The sequence below is a fragment of the Homo sapiens genome, chromosome 6, assembly GCF_000001405.40.
Source record: "Homo sapiens chromosome 6, GRCh38.p14 Primary Assembly".
NCBI classification, from domain to species: Eukaryota; Metazoa; Chordata; class Mammalia; order Primates; family Hominidae; genus Homo; species Homo sapiens.
Genome location: NC_000006.12, coordinates 157,594,481 through 157,618,384, shown reverse-complemented (window position 1 = coordinate 157,618,384; position 23,904 = coordinate 157,594,481). Strand labels below are relative to the sequence as shown.

Genomic DNA, 23,904 nt, shown 5'->3' with positions numbered 1-23,904 from the left:
GCACCATTGCACTGCAGCCTGGGTGACAGAGTGAGATTAGGTCTCAAAAAAAAAAAATCAGTCATGTGAGTTCAAATTTGTATAGCCTCAAAAACGGTCTTCGTGTGTTGGTGGTCTTCGGTCATTCTCCACCTGTCGTTTGTGAAACTCTGAGATAAGCTCCACGTGAGCAGTGCTTAGTCCTCAGTAAGTCCACGCCACTCCTGTCCCACCCAAGCCCCTCAGCGTTGACCTTACGCCATCTTTGGGTTTGCAGGGCCAGAAACGATGCCTAGTTCTCCTTAATTCTCCATGGAATAAAACAAATTATCTTGCAAAATTGAAAAACAAACTCGTGCTATCATCCAACACCCCTCAGAAACTTCTCAATGACTCTCTAGAAATTACGGGTCTTGAAATCAATAGTGCCATCTTAGCTCGGAATGGCTGACGCATTTGTAATGCTTTCTGGTTTTCGATATTCATTCACATTCTGTATTTCACTCACTCGATCTCTACCCTGTGACAGAGGTGGTACAGATTCCCAGAGGACAGGCGAGGAAAGCAGCTTGGAGAGAAATGGAATTGCCAGTGTCTAGAACCAGCTTCTGATGTCTGCCCACCGCCTTTTCCAGCTCCCCCACCCTCGTGACTCTTATGTTCTTTCATGTCCAGTTATTTAAGATCTTTTGAACCCTCAGTCAATTTATCCTCAAAATAAAAGATTTCAGAATAGAGTTGTCTCATGGGCATGTTATGCACAGAAAGCTAGCAATTCTCAGGCTCTTCAAAACCTTCTGACTACATGTATACATGGTGAGAAAGTTGTATTCCCAATTGGCATGCTTCTCCAAAGTAAATACGTTTCTGGGATCTTGTAGCAAAGAGTCCACATCGTCTGGGCACAGAGAGCTGTGTCTATGAGCAGGACCCAACGGCTTCATGGATTGATGCCAGTTCCCTTGAGAAGCCAACTGCGATGAGTCCAAGCAGAACCCATTTTTTAAAAAATTCAAAAAGAACGAGGACCCTCTGGAAAACTTCAGAGACATTTCATTTTTCTGAGTTGAAACTGAAGACGCAACCTCGTTACTATTATTGTTAAGATATAAGGCCATATATATCTGTGTTTCTTTCCTCAGGGAACCCTCAAGCAAAGAAATGCAAATATGTACCACCGTACTGTGTACTTTTCAAGGGTTTTTTCACATAATATCTCATCTGGTAATAAAAAGATATACATACTGCAGTGTCTCGTGACTGTCACTAATGCCTGTTATATGAGGTAAGAGGAACAGGTGTTCCCCTGTATATGCTCAGATTCACCTGGAGGGTTCTTTCCATGAGGCTGCCATTCATGCTTGTAATATTCACGATGGTGCTTGGCTTTCCGCCTCTAAAAGGTGAGTGATGGTCAGAAGACCCCTAGGGCATTCCTGCTCTGATGGTCCATAATCTGAGATCTGGGGGCCAAGGGAACCCCAGGGTCCAGCACTCCCCATCAGAGGTCCTTGTGGCTCAGTCTGGTTCTCTTGGGACAGTCCTGACCATCCCGATTTGCCTAACATGGAACAGAAGCAAAGTGACTCTCAGGTGTGCAGAAGGGGCGTTTGACACCCAGACATCATCTGTAGGGTCTCCCAACATTCTCATGGCACACTGTCCCTGCACCCGGACGTCTGATCCCCCCGAAGTATCTGTTCCTCCTGCCTCGTGTGTGGTTGGGATTTTAGGGCATACATCTGAGATTCCACAATCCCTCTGTCCCTTCAGTTCGAGGTCTGGTCTACGGTACACACTCAGGTCAGGGAGGGTGCACCTGGGAGTGGAGTGGCCTGGCAGCCTTTCCTGCTGGGCACAGGGCCGCTCGTCCTCTAGGGTGCCTGTGGGTTCTGTAGTGTCCAGCTCCAGCCTTGGGCCTGGCATCTCCCTGGGGTGAGCTGACCCCCTGGACACTTGTGGACCTAATTGTCCCACGGGCCCTCCCCTTCCGCAGGTCCCAAGCTCTGGTCATCAAGCTCCCTGCAATCTCTCCTCCTCACAAGCTGCCTCTTCTTTGCTAGTGGCATCCCCCATGGGGAACCCATTTATTTCATGCCCTCTGCCCCCTCATCCCTCACATCCAGGTGGTCAGCAGGAGGTGGTCATGGTCTCTCTGATCTCTCCTGTCTTGCTCCCCAGTGTCTGAAGGCCACTGCACTGTGCCGGCTCTTGTCCCCTCTTGCAGGAGCCGCTGTCACATCTTCCTGGACACCCCCCTTATGTGTCCCCCACACTGTTGCCAACAGGGCCTTCCAGTGCAAATGACATCTCAGGAGCCTCTTGCCTGAAGTCTCTGGGTGGTTCCTAATGCTGCTGGCGCCCCACTCTCCTGTCACTGGCTGCACCCCCAATGTGTCTGCAGAACCGAGTGCTCTGAGGTCTGGGTTTCCAAGCTGAGCTCCTTGGGTGCTGGGCAGGCCTCTGGCCCCCTCTCTCACCTCTTCTTCCTTCCCCTTGAACTATAGCAGTTAGACCTATGTCTGTTTTATATACTGAGTTTCCTCATTATTTTTCATTTTCTAAAATGGATCACTGCTTATAACAACCAAAACAAAACAAAACAAAACAAAACAAAAATGCAGTCAGCTAGTAAATGTGGCAAATGTTGACTGTAATTATTGTGAGCAGCTCTGAGTGAAGTTCCTAGGGTGCGATGCTGCCCCCTTATGAAACACCACATGATGGGCACTGCTGGCAGGATGTAGGACTCTACGGCAGAGGACTTGAACTTGGGTCCTGGCCTTTTGCCTAGTGATATGATGTGCACAGTTTCTGGGCCTCAGCAAGTCGGATATGCTATAAAAGGTTATTTCCAACTCAAATACTACGATTCCATAGCTAAATAAAACTTTTCAAGAACTGAAGTCAATTGTGTCTACACATTTCACACAATGAGGAAGTGCTGGCCAGCCCAGCAGCAGGAACTCTACAAATAAAGTATTTACGAGAACAGGGGCGCTTACAGACCCAGCCTAGGCCCAGAACAGGTTGGTGGCTCTAATGGCACTCAGAAATGACGAAGTACGACATCAATACCCCTGCCAGCAGACTTGGGTCCGCACAGACGTCTGGAGCTCTAAATACAGTGTGCTGTTTTTGTTTCTTGTTGTTCACATAAAGCTGCAAGCACTTCACTGAGTCACTGCAGTCCAGTCAGCAGGTCCTTAATTACTTTTCTCAACAAAGGCACTCAAAAGAACAGGCAAAGTTCTACCAGTTAGGACCGGCTATGGAATGTCGGGGGCCCGTGGCAAAATGAAAATTTGGGGCAGCTGCTTAAAAATCATTAAGAATTGGCCGGGCACAGTGGCTCATGCCTGTAATTCCAGCACTTTGGGAGGCGGAGGTGGGTGGATCCCCTGAGGTCAGGAGTTTGAGACGAGCTTGGTCAACATAGTGAAATCCCACCTACTAAAATTACAAAAATTAGCCAGGTGTGGTGGCGGGCACCTGTAATCCCAGCTAGCTGGGAGGCTGAGGCATGAGAATCGCTTGAACCTGGGAAGCAGAGGTTACAGTGAGCCAAGATTGCACCATTGCACTCCAGCGTGGGTGACACAGTGAGACTCTGTCTCAAAAAAAAAACAAAAAAAAAACATGAAGAGTTTCAAGCTGGAGAGAGCAGAACACGAAGTCCATCTGGGGCCCCGTGTGAGGAAGCAGGTCACACACTGGTGACCCCGGCCCTGCTAACTGCCATAGTGTTACGGCCTGGGAATGTGATTTTCCCATTTGTGGCAGATCGATGTCTAGCGATTCCATGGGGTTTTCTGAGAGGATTTATAGAGAGTTTTTCTAAGAACATCACACAGTGAGGAAGTTGTGATTTCCTCGGAGTTAAGGCCTAGTCAACAGCCCCTTCTCTATGGAGAGCCTTGGGGCTTTTCTTCCCCTTGAACTACAGCAGTTAGACCTATGTCTGTTTTATATATTGAGTTTCCTCATTACTTTTCATTTTCTAAAATGGATCACTGCTTACATCAACCAAAAAAAAAAAAAAATCAGTCAGCTAGTAAATGTGGTAAAGTTGACTGTAAATCAGTCAGCTAGTAAATGTGGTAAAGTTGACTGTAATTTTTGTGAGCAGCTGTGAGTGAAGTTCCTGGAGGTGGGGCTGCTCCCTTATGAAACACCACACAGTGGGGCACTGTTGATGGGATGTAGGACTCTATGGCACAGGACTTGAACTTGGGTCCTGGCCTTTTGCACTCCCCGCCCCCCCATCCCCCCTACCAAGAGCTGCGGTGTCTTCACCCAGGTGCACCAGCCAGCGGTGGGGGGGCTTGCCAAGAGCTGCCATTTTCTAGCCTGGGCGAGGCTGACTGGGTGAAGGTGTGATGGGAACAAGTTTACCAAGGAAGAAGGATATAATATCAGGGAGACCACGAGAGGAAGAGTCAGCAAACACTAAAACTGTCAGCCCTTTCAATACTATTTTCCAAGAGTATCAGAAACTGTTTATAGCCTCCAGGGCAACCGTTCTTAGACTTTTTTTTTCATTCCTTACTGGTTTAAAACTCTGATGACAGCTATGGATCCCTTCACTCTCGTGCACTCACACATTTTAGGTACAATTTCCCGAAGCCTATTCCTAGGCCCCAGGTTAAGAATGGATGACCTATCAGGTTAGTTCACAGAAACTGAAATAACTTATTTCAGATGATGAGATGGATGGGCTGCCTACTGCTCCAACAAGGCTGCTTGAAATGATTTATTTCAACCAGAATTTAAAACTGAGCTGTTCTAAGAAGGCAGGCCAACAGGTGCCTATCGTGTGGCATGCTAAATGTGCCATCCCCAGGGTCCCGGAGGTATACAACCTAAAATCCCAGCCCCAGGCAGGCTGACACCCTGGGCTAACCCCGGCATAAGTCAATGGAATCCTTGGCCTACTCAGAAGGAGCTACTCTAATTACGCTTTATTCCAGGATTTCTTAAACTAAGGGTTGTGATCAAATAGTGAGTCATGAAATTGATTTAGCTGGTCATGACCAGCACTAAAAACAAACAATAAAATAGAAAGTATCAAGGCATCTTCTGTTGAGAAAGGCAAGCACTGTTTCATGCCTTTTATGTGCATCTCTGTGCACTGGATCCCAGTAGAAAATGTATTTCCTACTGTGAGTTGCTGTAAAACACAAAAAGTTTGAAAGCTACTGTTTTATTCGAATTTGTAGGAGGCACACGTGAGGCCCTCCGATATCTGTTGAGTAGATAAATACACGTGTAGGTTGCGTCAGTCACAGACCTAAAGACACCATGAGTCATTTTCAGTGATGGCATTTCCACCCTCCCAGAACTGTGCAAGGATTACTAGCTCTTGATCAGACTTAATTTTTTTTAAATGATCATTTCTCTTGGAGTCTGACATTTTAAAATTTGTGCTTCTGGTAGGTTTGAGGGTGAAGGATATGGGTTTCATTTAGTTTAGATTGGGTGCCCGAGGCTTTTTTTTTCCCCCCAGTTGAGAACACTAACCTCATCATAGGGCCAAAAAAGCAATATACTTTTTTTTTTTTTCTCTAAGAGAGAAGACTACGATGGAGACATGAAGGTAGATACAGCAAGAGGAGCATCAAATTCTCTTTTTCTTCTTCCCTCCCTTCTCTCCTTCAGTAAATACTAACTGAGCAGCTGCATGCCAGTCAAGGAGTTGGCTGCTGGGAATACAGTAAGGGAAACTGACACAGGCCTGGCCTCTTGAAGCTTACCCAACTGTGGGCAGAGACATCGGCCACTCGAGTCCACACATCCCCAGTGTATACCATGACAACCCTGGTCAGAGCTATGAAGGAAGCATACAGAAAGCTATGGGAAGTGTGTGCAGTGGCAGGCTTCCCTGAGGAGCCCACGCCTGAACATCTCCCTGAAAGATGAGCAGGAATTAACAGAGAGGAACCAGAGGAGACCTCGGGGCTGGAGCCCAGGTGGCATGCAGGACTACGGTGCAAGCCGAGAGAGGTGGGTCTTGTATACTAGGTTAAGGATTTTGGCCTCCTTCCCATAGTGATGAGATTCTGTTTGGAAACGGTCACTCTGATGTCAGCATAGAGGCTGGATTAGATGAGGAGCAGAGTGGATGGTGGGTGTCCTCCGAGAGACCTTTGCACAGTTAAAGTGAGAGATGATGGCGGCTTGCAGCTGGCCGAGGCAGTGCACAGAAGGAAAGGGATGAAGTGGTTTAAGCTGGGATCCACCTAGTAAGCAAACTGTACAGAGCCTGGTGATGGATTAGGTGAGCAGGGTGTGGCAGAGAAAGGAGTCGGTAGGACCCTCACGTCTGTGTAGCCTGTGAATGGGGCTGGCCCTCAGCAAGGTGGGGGGTCACTGGGGAAAGATGATTTGGGGTGCTTTTATCTCCCCAAGTGGACATGTCCAGCGGGAAGCTGCATATGCATGTCTGGAGCTCTGAGGAGAGGTCTGAGCTAGAGACATAAGCCTGGCAGAAAGAGAGACTCCGGAAGGCAAAAGGAGCAAGACACAGGTATAAACACACACTCGTCAGAGCCACAAAGCCAAGAACCACACACACACAAAAGGGACGGAGCCGGTCAAAAAGATGCACAAACAGGGAAAGTCAGATGAACAGAGACAGACTTTCATGAAGCAATCGCTTGTGGCTTTTCTGGGTATGGAAGAAATATATTTTTCAAGCTAAGTTGCAGTTTGACAATTCCAGGCAGAAATAAGGTGAGCACTTGGCCAGAGTCCACCCTCCCTTGCTGGATCGTCTCCAACCTGCAGGCACACATCTACCTTTGCCTTGGAAGAAGGTCTCTTTGCACTGGGCACTGACACTGCAGTTGAGTATCACTGACAAAGCCAGAACAGGATGAAAATGTGCCCGGGAGGCCCCAGAAATTCTGTTGTTGAAGCTTTCCTATTGGCCAGGGATGCTCTCTCCAAAAAACTGTATTAGACATGTAATCTCACTCTTTTGTCATAAACAGTTTCTAAATAAATGCACAGAATAAAAAAGACGTGATACCTTAAAAAATTTACGTTAGACGCATTATTTTACATCAGAATCCTCTATCAAAGCACTTTTTAAAAGTACACATATTGGCCAGGCGCGGGGGCTCATGACTGTAATCCCAGCACTTTGGGAGGCCGAGGTGGGCAGATCACCTGAGGTCAGGAGTTTGAGACCAACCTGGCCAATATGGTGAAACCCTGTCTCTACTAAAAATACAAAAATTAGCTGGGCATGGTGGCGCGTGCCTATAGCCCCAGCTACTCGGGGAGGCTGAGGCAGAAGGATGGCTTGAACCCGGGAGGTGGAGATTGCATCACAGCACTCCAGCAGACAGAGCAGGACCCTGTCTCAAAAAACAAAACAAAAACAAAAACAAACAAAAATGTGCATTTATTCATGGCTCCCAGTCTTACACGAGCATATTTGACAGAAGTCTCCAGAAAGTCCCACAGGGCCGACCAGGCAGTGATTCTGCTTCCTGTGGCAGTTCTATTTCTCATTCTACACTTATAAATTGGCACTCTGATTACGAATTGGCTGCCCAGGCAGCTTGATACCAGGCAGAGAAGCGGCTGGCTTTGCCTGGTGAGAGAATGCTGGCCCCTGTGACAACGTTGGTCCTGCAGTCATCTGTTGAAAATGAACAAATCTGCATTCTGGCTTTCTGCATTCAGGATGAGAGCTCGGACAACATGGGTCTGTCCACAAGCTCCAGTCCTCCAAGTCCAACATTGAGACCAAGGCCGCTCTGTGGGCCAACGCTGCCTCTCCTTCTTGGAATGTGTAGCCCCTCCCTCCATCCTGACCTCCAGGGGCTGTTGAGACTCTCAGGAGTGACCGACAGGAACCTGAAATGTGGAGCCTGTTGAGATAAAAGGAGGCTCTGCAGAACTTCATGGCAGAAGGGTAGTTAGTTTCTACTTCAGGTGTAGATTCTTTTTTATTTTTATTTTTTTGAGACGGAGTCTTGCTCTGTCACCCAGGCTGGAGTGCAGTGGCCTGATCTCGGCTCACTGCAAGCTCCGCCTCCCGGGTTCACGCTATTCTCCTGCCTCAGCCTCCCGAGTAGCTGGGACCACAGGCACCTGCCACCGCGCCTGACTAATTTTTTGTATTTTTAGTAGAGACGAGGTTTCACCGTGGTCTTGATCTCCCGACCTCATGATCCGCCTGCCTCGGCCTCCCAAAGTGCTGGGATTACAGGTGTGAGCCACTGCGCCCAGCCCAGGTGTAGATTCTTGACTCAGGTCGTGGGTGGGATCTGCCCAGTTCAGCTGTCTGTGAATATTTAAGGTGGTTGGGGGTCACTGCGTGGGCCTCTATGATGCCAACAAAGGACTCCCCTGGGATGGCCTGCAGCCCCCTCTGTGATGAACTTCAATGATTCACCCCACAAAGTCAGAGGCAAAATTTCCAAAAAGTATGTTGTGAGATTACTCCCCAGTTCTTTGTCCCCAAGGAGTTGTTGCTACTTTAAGGCAGGCCTGGGTGAGCAGACCCTGATCCAGGCTGGATCTGCCTCTGGGTCCCACTGCTTGTTCCCCTTGACACTTTGGGCTCTTCTTCCAACTCCACTGGCTTCAGCCCCTGCACAGAGCCCCTTCAAGCATTCCATTGCTGTCCACCGGCTCTCCTGAAGGGCTTGCTTACTCCTTGGGCCACCATCTGCAAGCTCAGTGCCCGGCCACCTCCTCTGGTCCCTATTCTGTGACCCCACAAGACAGGGAAAGACACTCACTGCTCAGAGCAGAATGGAAGATGGACTCCCCACTTGTGGCACATGATGGCACTTCTTATTTAAGACCCTCGAGCAACCTACCTCACTCAACACAAAACTCTTCCTGCTCTTTATGACGTTGCTTTGTAAATTGTAGATCACCGGGCAAAAGAGAGAGATGATGATGGGAAGACATTCTGGATAAAGGGAGCATCCTGAGTGCCCTGGCAATCATCCTCAGCTGTTCCTGGAGTGGCCATCACCCTACACAAAGCAGCTTCTCCTTCAGGGCCAGCCGTGGACTTCTCTGCCCAGTGCAAGCTGCCCTCGGCTCCTTCTAAGGCCTCTCCTGTCCAGTGCCATTGCTGCTACATCCATTTCCCACCTCTCGCTTTCCCTCCAGGTGCGCACCTTTTGACACAGGCAGTGCTCAGCTCTGGCTCTTTGGAGCTGATCCCACTGTTTCGAGGTCCTCATGTTTATTTTAGGCTGCCACAGATCAACTTCTGGACCAAGAACCCAAGGGGTCCAGGTAGTTACACTGAATTACATACTTTACAGACTCAGGTCACCAAGCCATGATCCACTTAAAATATGTGAACTCTACTTTTCCTTAAAAGCATTACTTGGTAGCATGGGGAAAAAACCATGCTCTCAGGAACCAGAGGGGTCAAGCACTCTCCTTTGCCCCAACTCCAGGAATTTAATGAAGTATCAAGTCCTGTCAGTTCTTTGGCTGAAATTTTTCTGGAATCATCCACATCTTTCTGTCTCCTTGGCCACTGCCCTGGCCTGGACTCTAGTGCCCTGTCCCGCCCTGTGGGGACAGCCCCCCCTCTCGTCTCCTTGGCTCTGTCGTGCCACCATCCAGTTTGTTCTCTGCTGGAGAGACAGAGGACACTTTTTGAAGCATGCATTTGATAAGGCCACTTTTGTCTCTTGTCCTCAGATAAGATCAAAACTCTTTTGCGTGGCTTATAAGGTGCCTGCCTACCCCCTGGCCTGTTGCAGCCCTCTCTGCCACACTGACTCACTCTGACCTGAGTCTCCACGTCAGCCACACCTCTGGTCCCTCGGGCAGGCCCATCTTCTCCTGCCCGGGCTCAGCACAGGCATCCTCCCACTTGCACAGCAGCATCTTCTTGCTAGCTCTCCTCTCTGTGCCTGGCTGACCAGAGCTCAGCCCAGATGGGACGCTGCTTCCTCCAGGTTGGGCATCTTTCCCGTATGCTCCCATGTGAGCTGGACTTTGCCGTTGTGTCACTCACCTCCCTGTACCACCGGTGCCTCCTAATCCACCTGTGCTTCTCGGTGGGTATCTCTAAGCTCTTTGCAGGCAGGGCCATGTTGACCACATTCACCACTGTCTCCCAGAGCTCCCGAGCACAGAGCCCATATAATCGGCCGTCAGTGGATATTTCTGAAGTAGGGTGAATGAATGACGTGCTTCTCGCTCTGGGTACAGCTCTGAGGACGCCCCCTGAGCACATACAGCATGACGGCAAATCCATGCACGCACAGCGTGACTTCCTGTCCTCCAGCGAAGTGTCAGCATGAGCAAAGGTGGAAAAAAATGCATGTTTTCAATTCGTTGGTGAAAAACAAACCCACAAATCAGTAGTGATAAGCAGTGGATTTTCAGGCACAAACCAGGTAGACACTGGTTACTTTTATCATATAATGGCACATCGCATTGTTAGGAATTTAACTTGTGAGAGCCAAGAAGACATTGTGCAATACGATCTTGTTTCTGTCAACTTTCAATAGAAATGGATGTGATACAAGCCCTCAGAAAGCCCATGCGGAGCTTGGAAAGAATCGCTGCTTCAAATTTAAGACGGCACTGTCAATATTCTATTCTCTCTTGTGAACAGGTTTTAATCTCTTTAACTACACTGAGGGTTCTTTTCTTCCCAATATTTCTCGGTAGCATAAAGGGACTGAAGAAAGTATGGACAACGAGAGGGAACAAAGGCTCTCCAACGTTTAAACAGCCATGAAGATGGTTTCTGTTTACCCAGACGAAAGGGCAGAGGGCACCTGCACAGACCTCACCCTGCCACTGCCCTTTCTCTTGCTTCTTTGCAATGAAAGGGTTAAACATCCTTTGCTCACAGAAAACCCCAGGCCAGGCAGGCCACACTGTAGGTGGTCCTTCCTCCCTACCCTCAGGAAACTGCATGCTGCACAACTGTGTTTGGGTTGAGAGAGGAAAAGAGGAAGAGAGAGAGGAAGCGGAAGGAGCCTACTGTAGTTGGTTTGTTTGTTTGTTTGTTTTAAAAAAAGAGCCTTTAAATGCGGCATTCTTGAAAGAAATGGTTTTGTATACTATTTGAAAAAAATCTACACAAACCCCTTCCTTGGTTGGGTGGAGAGATAATGTGACTTGTCATCTTAGGGAGTCTATTTTCTAACAATTTAAGAGCCTCAACAAGAGTGAACCAGGGACTCTGAGATTTCTTGTGTGTGTGATGAAGCCCTCAGCATTCCGCTGAGGCCCGTGAACCCCTTCCCAGCATGTTTCTAAATACATAAATATGTGAGATGACAAAAGAAAGCAATAATAAAGACGATGTTTCTAACATAATTTCGACATCGTGATATAGAAAAATACATACTTCGAATATGCTAACTAGTAAGATCTATGGTTTATCATCTTCCACAATTTTGAAGTAGTGGCAAGTGTAAATGTTATGCTGAGCTATCTGCAATAACCATGACACCATATAAAATAGCTGCAGTTTCTAGTGGTGACAAACACCACTAGTGTGATGTGTTTCCCATATTCATTAAAGGAAATATTCAATTTCATTTAGACGTTAGTGGAAATAAAAATGTAACTGTTTTCCTCTCCAAGTTCGTGGACCCCTGAATTCCATTCATGTCACCCAGGTCAGGAATCCCTGCTCTAAACAAACCCTAGAAGCAAAGTTCTTGACCGCGGGTGAGACTATGCCCTGGGAGGTGACGGGGTCCCAAGCTGCACTTCTGCACCAGGGCCATGAGCCTGCTCTGACTGCCCTCACAGCAACTGATCACCCACCCGGCTTCTTGGTGAACTCATTCTCTCGAGGCCATGGGGCGGACCACTGGACGTTTCCATCCAAGTTGCTGCATTCCATCATACTTCTGGCATCTTCTAATCCAAGCATGCAGCTCACCTCATTAAACTCTCTCCTCAGATTTTTCTTTTTTCTTTTTTTTGAGATGGAGTTTTGCTCTTGTCCCCCAGGTTGGAATGCAGTGGCGCGATCTCTGCTCACTGTAACCTCCACCTCCCAGGTTCAAGCAATTCTCCTGCCTCAGCCTCCAGAGTAGCTGGGATTACAGGCAGCCACCACCATGCCCAGCTAATTTTTGTATTTTTAGTAGACACAGGGTTTTACCATGTTGGCCATGGCTAGTCTCAAACTCCTGACCTCAGCTGATCCACCCACCTCGGCCTCCCAAAGTGCTTGGATTACAGGCATGAGCCACCGCTTCCAGACTCTCCTCAGATCTTAAGGGGCTCATGGGAACCGTGAAGGGGAAAATGCCCGGTCTGAGGCATAGAGACCTGTGTTATCCTGAAAACTAAAATGTGCAGGTAGTATAATTTCAGGAGAGTAATGCGATCTTCATATACACATATGACAGAAGTTTTAAACACGTAAAGTACTCAGCATATATATCTTGCTAACTTCATGATAATCCTGGGGGAAGAACTAGCAAGTTGAGCTTATTTATGACTTTGCCTGGGCTCAGCTGGGTTATAACAGATGGTTACCTTCTCTACTCCTCCTGGAGTCTTCAAAAGCCTTTATAGGCTGGTGACCACATGTGATTCATCCTCCTCTCCTCTCCTGCGTGCCCCCTACCCCCCACCCGCTGTGCCCACGCAGAGTCTCATTCACGGTTGACACCAATTGTTGGACATACTACAGCGTTCCTGCTGGGCTGGGGTAGAAGTCATGGCCTTCCTCACATGTTAAAATCTGACTTGTCACCTGCTGCTTGCCCGCTTTCAGGCCCACTGAGTGTCTGTCTGCTCTAAGTCCATGAACCGTTATGAACCTTCACACAGGGCCTGGGAGGCTGCCTTCCAGTTCTTACCTTGCTGTCTGATCGGAGTCAAGTCTCTGCCCTCTCTGAACCTGAGTTCCACAGCAAATGGGGGTGACACTTTCCAGCCCATTGCTTGGTAACACAGGGAAGACTTCCTCCAAATGTAAGAATCCATACATAAATAAAGGATGGTATTATGAAAATGGAAGAGCTCTCTTAGTACAAATAGTTTCTAAGTATTCATTTCACTTATTTAATTAAAAAAAGATAATCATTACATTTCCAAAGGCACATTACTGGATTTTAAAATACACTTTCTTCTTGCTTCTCCCAAAATATAATCTTTCCATTTCAATTAGTCTTTTATTTAAAATACTTTTCAACCTTTTTTAAAACAAAATAAAACTTAACCTGTTCCAGCAAACCAAATTATTTCATAGCTCTTTTTTAAAAAATGTGCAAACACATATTAAGCTTTCAAAACTAAGGCACATGGGTTATTATTCACTATCAAAGTTTCTAGGCTTTAACAGCTCAGTTCTGCCCAACTCCTACAAATAGTGGGTGGAATTTGGTGAAACGTTTATTGCCAACACTCAACAGAGAGCAGCTGGATCAGCTGACACAGCCACAAATATCTTGGAAGAAGAAACTTCAGGGCTGGTAAGGTATGTTTCATCTTCTGCTTCCCTAACTCCAATATCCATTGCTGGAAGCCAATTTCAATTCTGGGCAACTCATGTCAACAACAGATTACTGCGCACCTAGCAAGGCACTGTGTAGGGCTGGGCATGGTGGCTCACACCTGTAATCCCAGCATTTTGGGAGGCCGAGGCAGGTGGATCACCTGAGGTCAGGAGTTCGAGACCAGCCTGACCAATATGGTGAAACACCGTCTCTACTAAAATTACAAAAATTAGCCGGGTGTGGTGACACGTGCCTGTAGTCCCAGCTACTTTGGAGGCTGAGGCAGGAGAATTGCTTGAACCCGGGAGGCGGAGGTTGCAGCCGAGATCGTGCCACTGCACTCCAGCCTGGGCAACAGAGCAAGAATCCGTCTCAAAAAAAAAAAAAGAGTAACAAATACACAACTGCTTCTTAGAAAATAACTGGTCTTGGGTCTTCAAGTCTCCCCTCATGTGAGAGGCTGTATTGTTCTAGTAAACACAGTCATCCCTCCGTATCCAAGGGGGATTGCTTCCAGGACCTCCCTCAGATATCGAAACCCACAGATGCTCAAATCCCTGCTAAGAAATGGAGTAGTGTTTGCATATAGCCTATGCATAGCCTCCAGTATCCTTCAGGTCAACTCTAGATTACTTTTTTTTTTTTTTTTTTTTAAGACAGGCTTTCACTCCATCACCCAGGCTGGAGCGCAGAGGCGTGATCAAGGTTCACTGTAGCCTCAATCTCCCTGGTTCAGGTGATCCACCTGCCTCAGCCTCCTGGGTAGTTGGGCTTACAGGCACCCGCCACCACGCCTAGCTAATTTTTGTATTTTTTGTAGAGATGGAGTTTTGCCATGTTGCCCAGGCTGGTCTTGAACTCCTGGGCTCAAGCCATCTGCATGCCTCAGCCTCCCCTGTACCCATTCAGTACAGACATAATTTTTTCTCTTAGTATATTTGATTCGAGGTTGGTTGAATCCATGGATGTGGAACCCATGAATACAGAGAGCCAAATGTATTCACTTCTCTCCCTCTTGAGGTGGCGTGCCCTTCCCTGTCCCACTGACATGTTGTGTGCCTTCCTTGGACAATGGAGTCTTCGCCACAGGCAGAGGTTGTAAGGGATACTGCATGTCTCAGCTCTAGGCCATGGCGGCCAGTAAGTACCACAGGTAGCTGCCCTCCCTTCAGCCTGGGTCCTGGAAAAACATTTGAGGAGACCTGAACCTGAACCAACGCCCGGGGCCGAGCCTTGCCTAATCCGCAGAGCTGCCCCAGATGTCCCACAGACACACGAGAAAAAGAAATGCTGCTTGTTAAGGGCCACAGAGGTTTTTGAGGGTGCTTGTAATACGGCATCATCAGACAACAGCTGCCTACTACCTGTCATCAGCTCACTTTATACTCGGATGCCAGATCAGTCCTCCTAGGGCTGAATTCCAGCCCTCTCAATCTCCTGTTCAAGCATCGTGCTCCAGCAGCTGAGTCAAGTCCCTCTTTCCTAGATGGGCATCCAAGGGCCTCTCAGTGTGGCTGCCAGCTAATTTCTTCAGCCTTTTCTCTCATTTCTCCCCTTTACGGGAATTGGTCTAAAATGACCATCCTGAGTGCTACGACCTTGTCAAGTACTTCTTTATGATGTTAGTTATCTTTTCATAACTACGTGGAAAACTCGTTAAGGGCAGGGAACGAACCTGTGTGAAATTTCTTTGCCCTCTACGTGCACATAGCAGCCACTCCATAAGTGCTTCTGGATTCATTGTAAACACTTGCTTCACAAAGCGTTCCACAGAGATGGCTGGATTCCTCACCTGACTCTCCATGTCCAGCCCTGGGCCCTGGCACTGCCATGAAGCACTGTGGACGTCCCAGCCTGCAGTAAGCCACGGCAACATCCACTTCAGACACCCAGGGGGACGATGGCCCCACGGTCTGGGGTGTGCAGGTACTTTCCAGAGAGCTCAGTGACTAGCAAAGGGTGCAGACATGACTGGTGGCTTGGACCCGAAAGCATGGATTAGATTGTTTGATTGATTTTTAAGTTTAGTTACAGGACCTGTTGCTTAAACCACAAAGAAACGACTAAACTCCAGACACTAAGACAAAACTGACAGGCTAGCACGAAGGGGCTGGTGCCCTCAGCAGCAGCAGAACCCAGCCTGGGTACGTAGCACTCCAGAAAGCTCAGAGGAAGCATCCTCATGGCGGGTGAAGAGTAAGCAGCTCCCTGCATGCTCAGGAGCCCGGCCTTCCTGACACTTTCACACACCCCGCCAGGCTGGATGCCCTGCCTGCCCTGAACATCCCTGAGCTTCTGTCCTACCGTTCAGTACCCCAGGTAGTCTATACACTGTAACTCCTATTTAGCCTTGGCAACTCAGCATAGGGACAAACTGGGGAATCTGCGCTCTCCCAGAACCTGCACACAGCTCCCGGTGGCACTGAATGCGTTTTTTTTTTTTTTTTTTTGAAACGGAGTCTTGCTCTGTTGCCCAGGCTGGAGTGCAGTGGTGCCATCTCGGCTCACTGCAACCTCTGCCTCCCAGGTTCAAGCGATTCTCCTGCCTCAGCCTTCCTAGTAGCTGGGATTACAGGTGCTAATTTTTGGATTTTTAGTAGAGACGGGGTTTCACCATGTTGGCCAGGCTGGTTTCGAACACCTGACCTCAAGTGACTGGCCCACCTTGACCTCCCAAAGTGCTGGGATTACAGGCGTAAGCCACCATGACCAGCCTGAATGCATTTTTTTTTTTTTTTGAGACAGAATCTCGCTCTGTCCCCAGGCTGGAGTGCAGTGGCACAATCTTGGCTCACTGCAACCTCGAGCCTCCCGGGTTCAAGCAATTCTCCTGCCTAAGCCTCCCTAGTAGCTGGGATTACAGGGGTGTGCTACCATGCCCAGCCAATTTTTGTATTTTTAGTAGAGACGCGGTTTCACCATATTGGCCAGGATGGTCTTGATCTCTTGACCTTGTGATCTGCCCGCCTCGGCCTCCCAAAGTGCTGGGATTACAGGCGTGAGCCACCGCGCCCAGCCCTGAATGCATTCTTTATCTCTGCCTTCCCCAGCCAGAATGAAGACGCTGCCTACCAAGAATGGTGCATTTTAATGGTCACTTTGGAGATGTGGAAAATACAAAAATGGGCAATGAAGAAATCACTTACACACATGCACATACACACAGAAAGCATGTGCATGGGCCCTGAAGTCACTTTCTGTAACTCATCTTTGGACTTCACAGGACCTCATAATATCAAATAGTGCATGTTTCCTTGCATCGTTCTAGGTTTGAAATGTTATTGTTTGTTGTTTGTATATTCTTCTAATTACATTTCACAGCTATTTTATCTTGCCCCCCGACTCATAATTCATTAAATTTAAATAAATTTGTGGAGAGTACATGTCTTGATTTTTATTACAATTCCTAACTGATACATAGTATGCTATTTTAATGTATTTATTAGGTAACTGATAAACCTACTAAACATAAAAAAACTAGTTCTAATGTTTGTTGGTACTGTTATTATTGCTCTTGTCAGCTACAAAATATGGTGATTTTGTTTCTTCTTTTTTGATAGTTATATATTTGTGTTTATTTTCCTACATTACCACATTAATTAGAAAAGATATTGTAAAATATTAGTAATGATACTAGACATCCTAATTTGTTCCTAATTTTAATGTAAATCATGGCAGTGTTTTGCTATAAAGAAAATGTTAGCTTTTTTCCTTTTTAACATAATGTTAAAGAAATATTCTTCTGTATTAGTTTTTAATCGTATAGCAATAGTTTTATATAGCAAATTACCAGAAATGACGGACTTTCAAACAACATGAACTCATTATCTCGCGATTTTTGTGGGTCAGGAGCCCCGTGCGCTGCGGCCAGGGCAGCCTCTCCATCTGCAGTCAGGGCCTCTCCCGAGCTCCATGCTGGAGGCGGGATTCACCGCCTTCCATCCTGCTCCGAAACGGCACCCAGGCCTCCTGCGCGGCATCTCTCCAGCTCTGCTCTTGAGGGCTCTTGGAATTACACTGGGCCCCTTGGATAATCCAGGATAAACTCTCTCAAGTCAGCTGATTAGTCACCTTTTATGACATCTACAAAGTCCCTTTTGCCAAGCAACGTGACATAACCATTGGAGCAACCCGGGGGGTGTGAGGGGAAGGGGCAGTCATGGGGGCCAGAATTCTGCCTACCACACCTTCCAATCTGGATACACTGAGTTCTATAGCTACAAATGAATGTCTTGGCCAGGTGCGGTGGCTCACGCCTGTAATCCCAACACTTTGGGATGTCAAGGTGGGCCAATCACTTGAGGTCAGTAGTTCAAGACCAGCCTGGCCAACATAATGAAACCCCATCTTTACTAAAAACACAAAAATTAGCCAGGCGTGGTGGTGCACACCTGTAATCCCAGCTACTCGGGAGGCTGAGGCAGGAGAATCACTTGAATCTGGGAGGCGGAGGTTGCAGTGAGCTGCACTCCAGCCTGGGTGACAGAGCAAGACTGTCACAAAAAATACAAAACAAATGTCGCATTTTATCAAATCCCTTTTTATTATCTATTATCATGATCACATATACCTTTTATCTTTTGACCTATTGATATACTAATAGTTTTATTAACATTAAAAAATCACATTCCTGGAATACATCCTTCCATGTCATGACTAATTCTTTATTATACTGGTAGATTAAGTTTGCTATGTCTTCACGTTGGCTTGTTGTAATGTTTATAAATAAGGGTGGGGGTTTTATTCTGCATGTTATTTTTGTAAGGTTTTGGTGTTAGGGTTATACTATTTTGGTGAAATGAACTGAAAAACCATTCAACCTTTCCGAAGCTCTCAGACACTACTCAGAACATAGGAAGTAAGCTGTCTGGGCCCAGCACCTTTCTCACATGGTTCTTCATAAAACTTTTCAGTTTTTCATGGCTAGTAATCAATTCCAGTTTTCTACTCACTCCTTGGCCCATTTTCCTATACAATCATGTTTCACTGAGATTTTTCAAATCAATTGGCATAGAGTTAACACAACGGCAAAATAATATATTTCTCAATAATTATAGAAAACCATCTCACCTATATTTGTTTCATTTGAATCTGTTACTTGCACTTTGTTAATTTCTTTGTCTTACCAGACGTTAATGCCTTGGTTGGTTGTTCTCCAAAGAATTAGATTTGGCAACCTATTGGTTGCTGTTTTCTAAGTCATTGTTTTCTTATGGTTTCCCTTAAGTTTATTTGCTGCTCTTTTTCTGCCTTCTGGAGATGGATGCTTTGTTCATTTATTTGCTTCTAAGTTCAGTTTATTTTTTGTACTAGACTTTTTAAAGTATTTTATTTCATTGGCCATCCACCATTAAAGTAAACTTCCTGTTTGGGGAGAACCCCAAAATAGGTGGGAGGCAGGGCCCCATCCTCCCATCCTCATTATAGATGCTGAGTGTGGGGCAGTCGCCACCTTCGCCTGGCTGTCTGCTTGGGCGTGGAAACAAAACAGGCCAAGGGCTCCCACCCAGGTGTCTGAATCCGGAGTTGTGGTCTTTGAAGACAGTCAGAGTTTCGTCGAGAGCTGCAGCAGAGGGAACTCAGTGGTGGTGCCGCAAACGTCCTACCTGTGGTACTTGCCTCCTGCAACATCCTGCTGCAGATGCAACTGGCCGTGCGGGGCTGCCCAGCCTCCTCCACTGTTCCTGGTTTCTGAGCCTCATTCTCCAGCCTCCTTGTTGATTCTACCGGCAACCCGACAGTCTTCTGGTTCATTCCTCTTCTGCTTAGATTAACTATTTCTCATGTTTAAAATGTAGAATTCTGAATGGCATGGTTTTCTTTTGCATTGTTCTTACTGCCATTTTCTAAATATTTTACAACTGCAGTTTTGAAGTTTCTGTCACCCAAGATTTATGAAAAGCCTCTTTAAAAAGCTTCTTTACAAAGATTTATAAAAGTTTTTTAAAGTTTTTTTTAAAAGCATTACAATTAGGTATGTTTGTACATTTCTATCTTTGTGATTCATTTCTAGTTTTATTGTTTCATCAGATGACATTTTCAGTGTGATATCTGCCTTTAGAACGCTGGAAAGTGTTTTGGGCTTAATATGATTAATTTTTGTAAATGTTCCATGAATGGTTGAACATGGTAAGTACACTTTGTAAAAACGAAGTTCAACATACATTTATTATACTTATACACTGGCATACTCTACTTACAGTTTGTTGACCTGAGCCATGAAAAACAGATGTATGCTATTATTTCTCACTAGCATTATGTAACAAATTACCTTTGCATTTTCTAACAACCTTTACTTTATATATTTTGATGCAATGTTATTTGGTGCATAAATGTTGGTAATTTAATTCTACTCTTAACCAATATAAAATTACTCTTTAACCTGTGTAATATGATAAATACAATACTGTCTGCCTTGAGTTCTCCTTGGTCTGCTCTTAATAATGATCCCTGGGGACTGGCTCATATTTTCACATACTTAGTTATTGTCACAGCACTTAACACATAGATGCTTATTCAATGTTGGTGAAATGAAGAGATAGCGGAAACCAGGAGAATCAGTAAAGTCCTGTTTGTTTTGGTTCCAACAAGGATACGAATCTCAGCTCCCTCCACTCCCCTCCAATGACCTGCTTTCCTATGAGAAACTAATAGCCCCCTCATCATACCCAAATAGTTACAAAGGCATTCCCAAGTGCTAATCCACACCAGAAGGCAGCTGCAGGGCCGAATCTCTGCCATGTCCAAACTCTTAATGTACAACTGTGAAGCAGTGGCTGGGTTCCTGAGGGCAGCGCACAGCAGAGTGTATGCAACACACAAGGTATCTGCAGTCTGAGTTCAGACTCACACACAGAGGAAGCAGTGAGAGCAACAAGGGGCAGACACTGTGGGACAGAAGGCAGAGTGTGCAGTAAGATGCAGTCAAGTGCCCGGGAGAGGAAGAGCACAGCCAAAAAGAGGCGAGGGAATGAGAAAGAGAGCCTGTAAGGATTTAAAAGAGGCAGGGGAAAGCCCTGCCAGAAATAAAAGCGACTGGACACTGAGTCCCTGCAGAGGGCGCCTGGAGGTTCTTTGTGGCACCCACACCAAAAATGACAGGACAGAAAACAAGGGACCAGGCCATGTCCTGGATGTGGGAGGAGGCTGGTCTGCTCGGTGCCCCCCAGGGGCTGGCATGGCCTGAGGGCTCCATGTACTACTTCCTTCGTCTTCACAGCCCTTCCAGATGTGGCATCTCAGGTGCAGAGACAGTCCCAGTGCCCACACAGGACAGCAGGGCTGGGACCCAGGCTGCAGCTGCCTCCAGAGGCCACCTCTGAACCTCTAGACTAAGCTGCCTGGGTCTGGCCAGAGTTAGGCAGACTCTTGTATAACCGGTTTGCAAAAATGCTGGCAGTGTTTCATCTTACTGTCTAGCAAACTTTCTTATTAGTTTGTCCACAGTATGTGATTAAAATCTAGTACATGTAAATCCCTTTTTATTACAGGTTTAGGCTGTACTAAAAATACGCATTCCAGCGAAAGCTGCTGGCAATTCCGACGCTGGACTAGGGCCCACCAAACGACAGACATCCCTCATAGGGCCTACCCCATCAGAAAAACGAGGGCAGCATGCACCTGGGGCTTTAAAACATACATAGTGAGCCCGAGAGGGTCTCACAGGCCCATGCTTTGCCTCTTCAGCTCCTTCAGTTTCTCTCGCTTTAATGATTTGAGGGATATGAGGATCCGAGAGAGAAGAGGTGGCTCCCTGGCCCCAGCTGTTGGTTGTTTAAAAATATTCCGTAACCTCAAAGCCCGCCTGGATAAATAAACAACCCGAAATGCTGCGTTCCACGTGTGCAGAAGGAACGCGATGGCAAGACTCACAGAGAACCAGAGAGACAGTCAAGGATTCAGAGAAAGAGACAGACGGAAACAGGCAGCAGGGACAAAGTCAGAGAGAGACAGAAAATACATTCACGTCGATCACGGCAGATCATCTAAATCCTTCCAGATTACAGAGAAACAAGGCGATTCCTACTACTTTGTGAAGACGCTTCTTGTTGTAATCAGTTACTTGGGAGCACCGATGGTGGCATTCCCATCACTGATGAGACCATCAATGGCCAGAGCCACGCGCTTACTGGCCCCTCAGTGTGCCGCAGGTCTGTCTGTGCTGGGTGCTGTGGTGGGCACTATCTCAGTTAATCTTCAAAAGAAACCGAGGGGGTAGCACTAGGATCACATCCATTTTACAGATGTGGTAACAGCTGGGAGCGTTCAGACAACTTGCCAGGTTCCAGTATTACTCAATGAGAGGACCAGGATTCAGCCCTGGCCTGTGTGTTCTCAGAGCCAGGTCCCCAACCACTGGGGCCTGCCAACTAACTCTATATTTGACCAGAGAAAGCTCTTTCTCAGTCCTCAACTAAAAAGGCCCCTATGACTTTCAAACTTATTTAACAAAGAAAACTGCTCTTCTGAACGGCCTGGGAAGCTGCATTTTTCCTCTCTCCTCTCCCATGCAAAGTGACATTTATTTACTGTGCTTGGGAAGGACCAGCTCAAACCTGCTCGTTACAAGGTAAGGGAAGCCACAAGTTCCCACCTCAGCTTTCAGCATACCACTGTGCTACTTCTCTTGCTGCAAAAAGAATTCTTTCAGTGAAAACTTTCCATCTAAAAATAAGATCATGGCCAACTCTGCAATTACACTTCTCAGTGGGAGACATTTGCCTTCCACTCTATTTTCCTGAATGCAGAATGTCCAAACTACTGTCCTGCTCATCAGTCAACCAAAGGCCCCAGTGTCCCATAATTAACCGGAAAACCGAAGCTATGCAGTTTTCAATCACTGGGTGGTGTTTTGAGGAGCCCTGTGGGCAGCTTTATTTTAGATCACTCATATGCTACTTCTTCACCTGTCCCCCACGGAGCTGGCCCTGAGCACCACTCAGAGGCCGCGGCTTGCGGTGTGCTCCTGGGTTCCAGTCTTCCTCCTCTAGATCCTGCCCCAAACTTCCCCACTTCCTCTCCTTTCCCTTTCTCTTTCCTGTTCTGGGTCTCCCATACATAGACCACCACCATGTTCGGTTGTGGATACTGGGTGGCCACCGTGACTTTGATTTACCAGAAAGGTGGAGGCCTGGCTCCTGGCCTATTATAGCCTGGTGGCTCCTAGGTTCACGGCTGGTAGAGTGCACAGGAGAGGATCATACTGGAAACACTCACACATGCAGAAGTACACCGTCACTGGGGAAAGGCACAGCTGTGATAAGGGGCTTTTACATCTCATTCATCAGGGTTCTTTAAGGGACACATACACCTGTGGGCAATGGGAGGGAACAAATGTGATTATATGAACTTTCAGAGCAGTGTCTGATAATAATCCAAAAGGAATTTTAAAATAGTAAGTCACAGTAGATTGAGAAGAAAATTTTGACTGTGATTAAAAATCTAGCCTAGGCCGGGAGCAGTGGCTCACATCTGTAATCCCAGCACTTCAGGAGGCCGAGGCAGGTGGATCACTTGAGGCCAGTTCAAGACCAGCCTGGCCAACATGGTGAAACCTCGTCTCTAAGAAAAATACAAAAAAATTAGCTGGGCAGGGTGACATACGCCTGTAGTCCAGCTACTCGGGAGGCTGGGGCAGGAGAATTGTTTGAATCCGGGAGGTGGAGGTTGCAATGAGCTGAGATCATGCCACTGCACTCCAGCCTGGACGACAGAGCAAGACTCCATCACAAAAAAAAAAAAAAAAAAAAAAAAAAAAAAAAAAAATCTAGCCTAGAGACAAGAAACAGAGGATAAATGAGTGGACAAATTGGGTGTGTTTAGAAATGAATAAAAAGTTTTATAAATGATAAAGAGAAGGAAGTGCCCAGTAAGACCTTTAGTTTTACAGATAACAACACCCTACCTACCAAAATATAGTCTAGAATAAGGCATTAGACCTCCAGGAGAAGGCATGCAGAATGACAGAAGAGTTTATGTGCACAAGTGTAAGACACACACTGTCCCATCACAGGCCTGGAGGTCAAAATTACAACCCAAGAAAGGGTGTTGAGAACTCCTACAGGTAGACGGTTCCCCCAGAGATATTTAAGATGCTGTGCTCCTTCAGCTTAAATTGTCCCCAAGATAGGTGTGGAATGGACACTGGGGCTGGTGTCACCAGGAAGGGTACTGGTAATCAAACAAAGGCTGATTTGTAGAGTCCCTTGTAGAAACCTTGTAGAAACCCTGGTGTGCCCCCACATGGAGAACTAGGTGTAGTTTTGGCCACTGCATCTACGGAAGGTCAAGACATTGTCCAGAGAAAGCCAATCAAAACTATCAAGAGAGGAGGAGTAACAAGAGCACTAGCAGCTAACAATCACAGAGCGTCTGCTACATGCCAGGCACTTTCCACCTGTTCATTCATTTATTCTCTCCACTATCCCATGCGGCAGGCAGTTATCAACCCCACCGCAGA

At 46.8% G+C, this 23,904-nt stretch overlaps 1 protein-coding gene across 7 annotated transcripts in view, besides 2 other annotated features; it reads right to left on the bottom strand.

Moving 5' to 3' along the window:
• ZDHHC14 (zDHHC palmitoyltransferase 14) overlaps positions 1 to 23,904 on the bottom strand; it is a 296,968-nt gene that overhangs the window by 59,773 nt on the left and 213,291 nt on the right. The gene's annotated exons all lie outside the window — the stretch shown is intronic.
• Positions 1,355 to 1,854: an enhancer, noted in NCBI's record as "H3K4me1 hESC enhancer chr6:158037563-158038062 (GRCh37/hg19 assembly coordinates)". NCBI's record gives its function as "activates a minimal SCP1, AML or CMV promoter by ChIP-STARR-seq in primed H9 embryonic stem cells {active_cell/tissue: H9 hESC(primed)}" and the evidence as "EXISTENCE:reporter gene assay evidence [ECO:0000049][PMID:30033119]".
• Positions 1,855 to 2,356: an enhancer, noted in NCBI's record as "H3K4me1 hESC enhancer chr6:158037061-158037562 (GRCh37/hg19 assembly coordinates)". NCBI's record gives its function as "activates a minimal SCP1, AML or CMV promoter by ChIP-STARR-seq in primed H9 embryonic stem cells {active_cell/tissue: H9 hESC(primed)}" and the evidence as "EXISTENCE:reporter gene assay evidence [ECO:0000049][PMID:30033119]".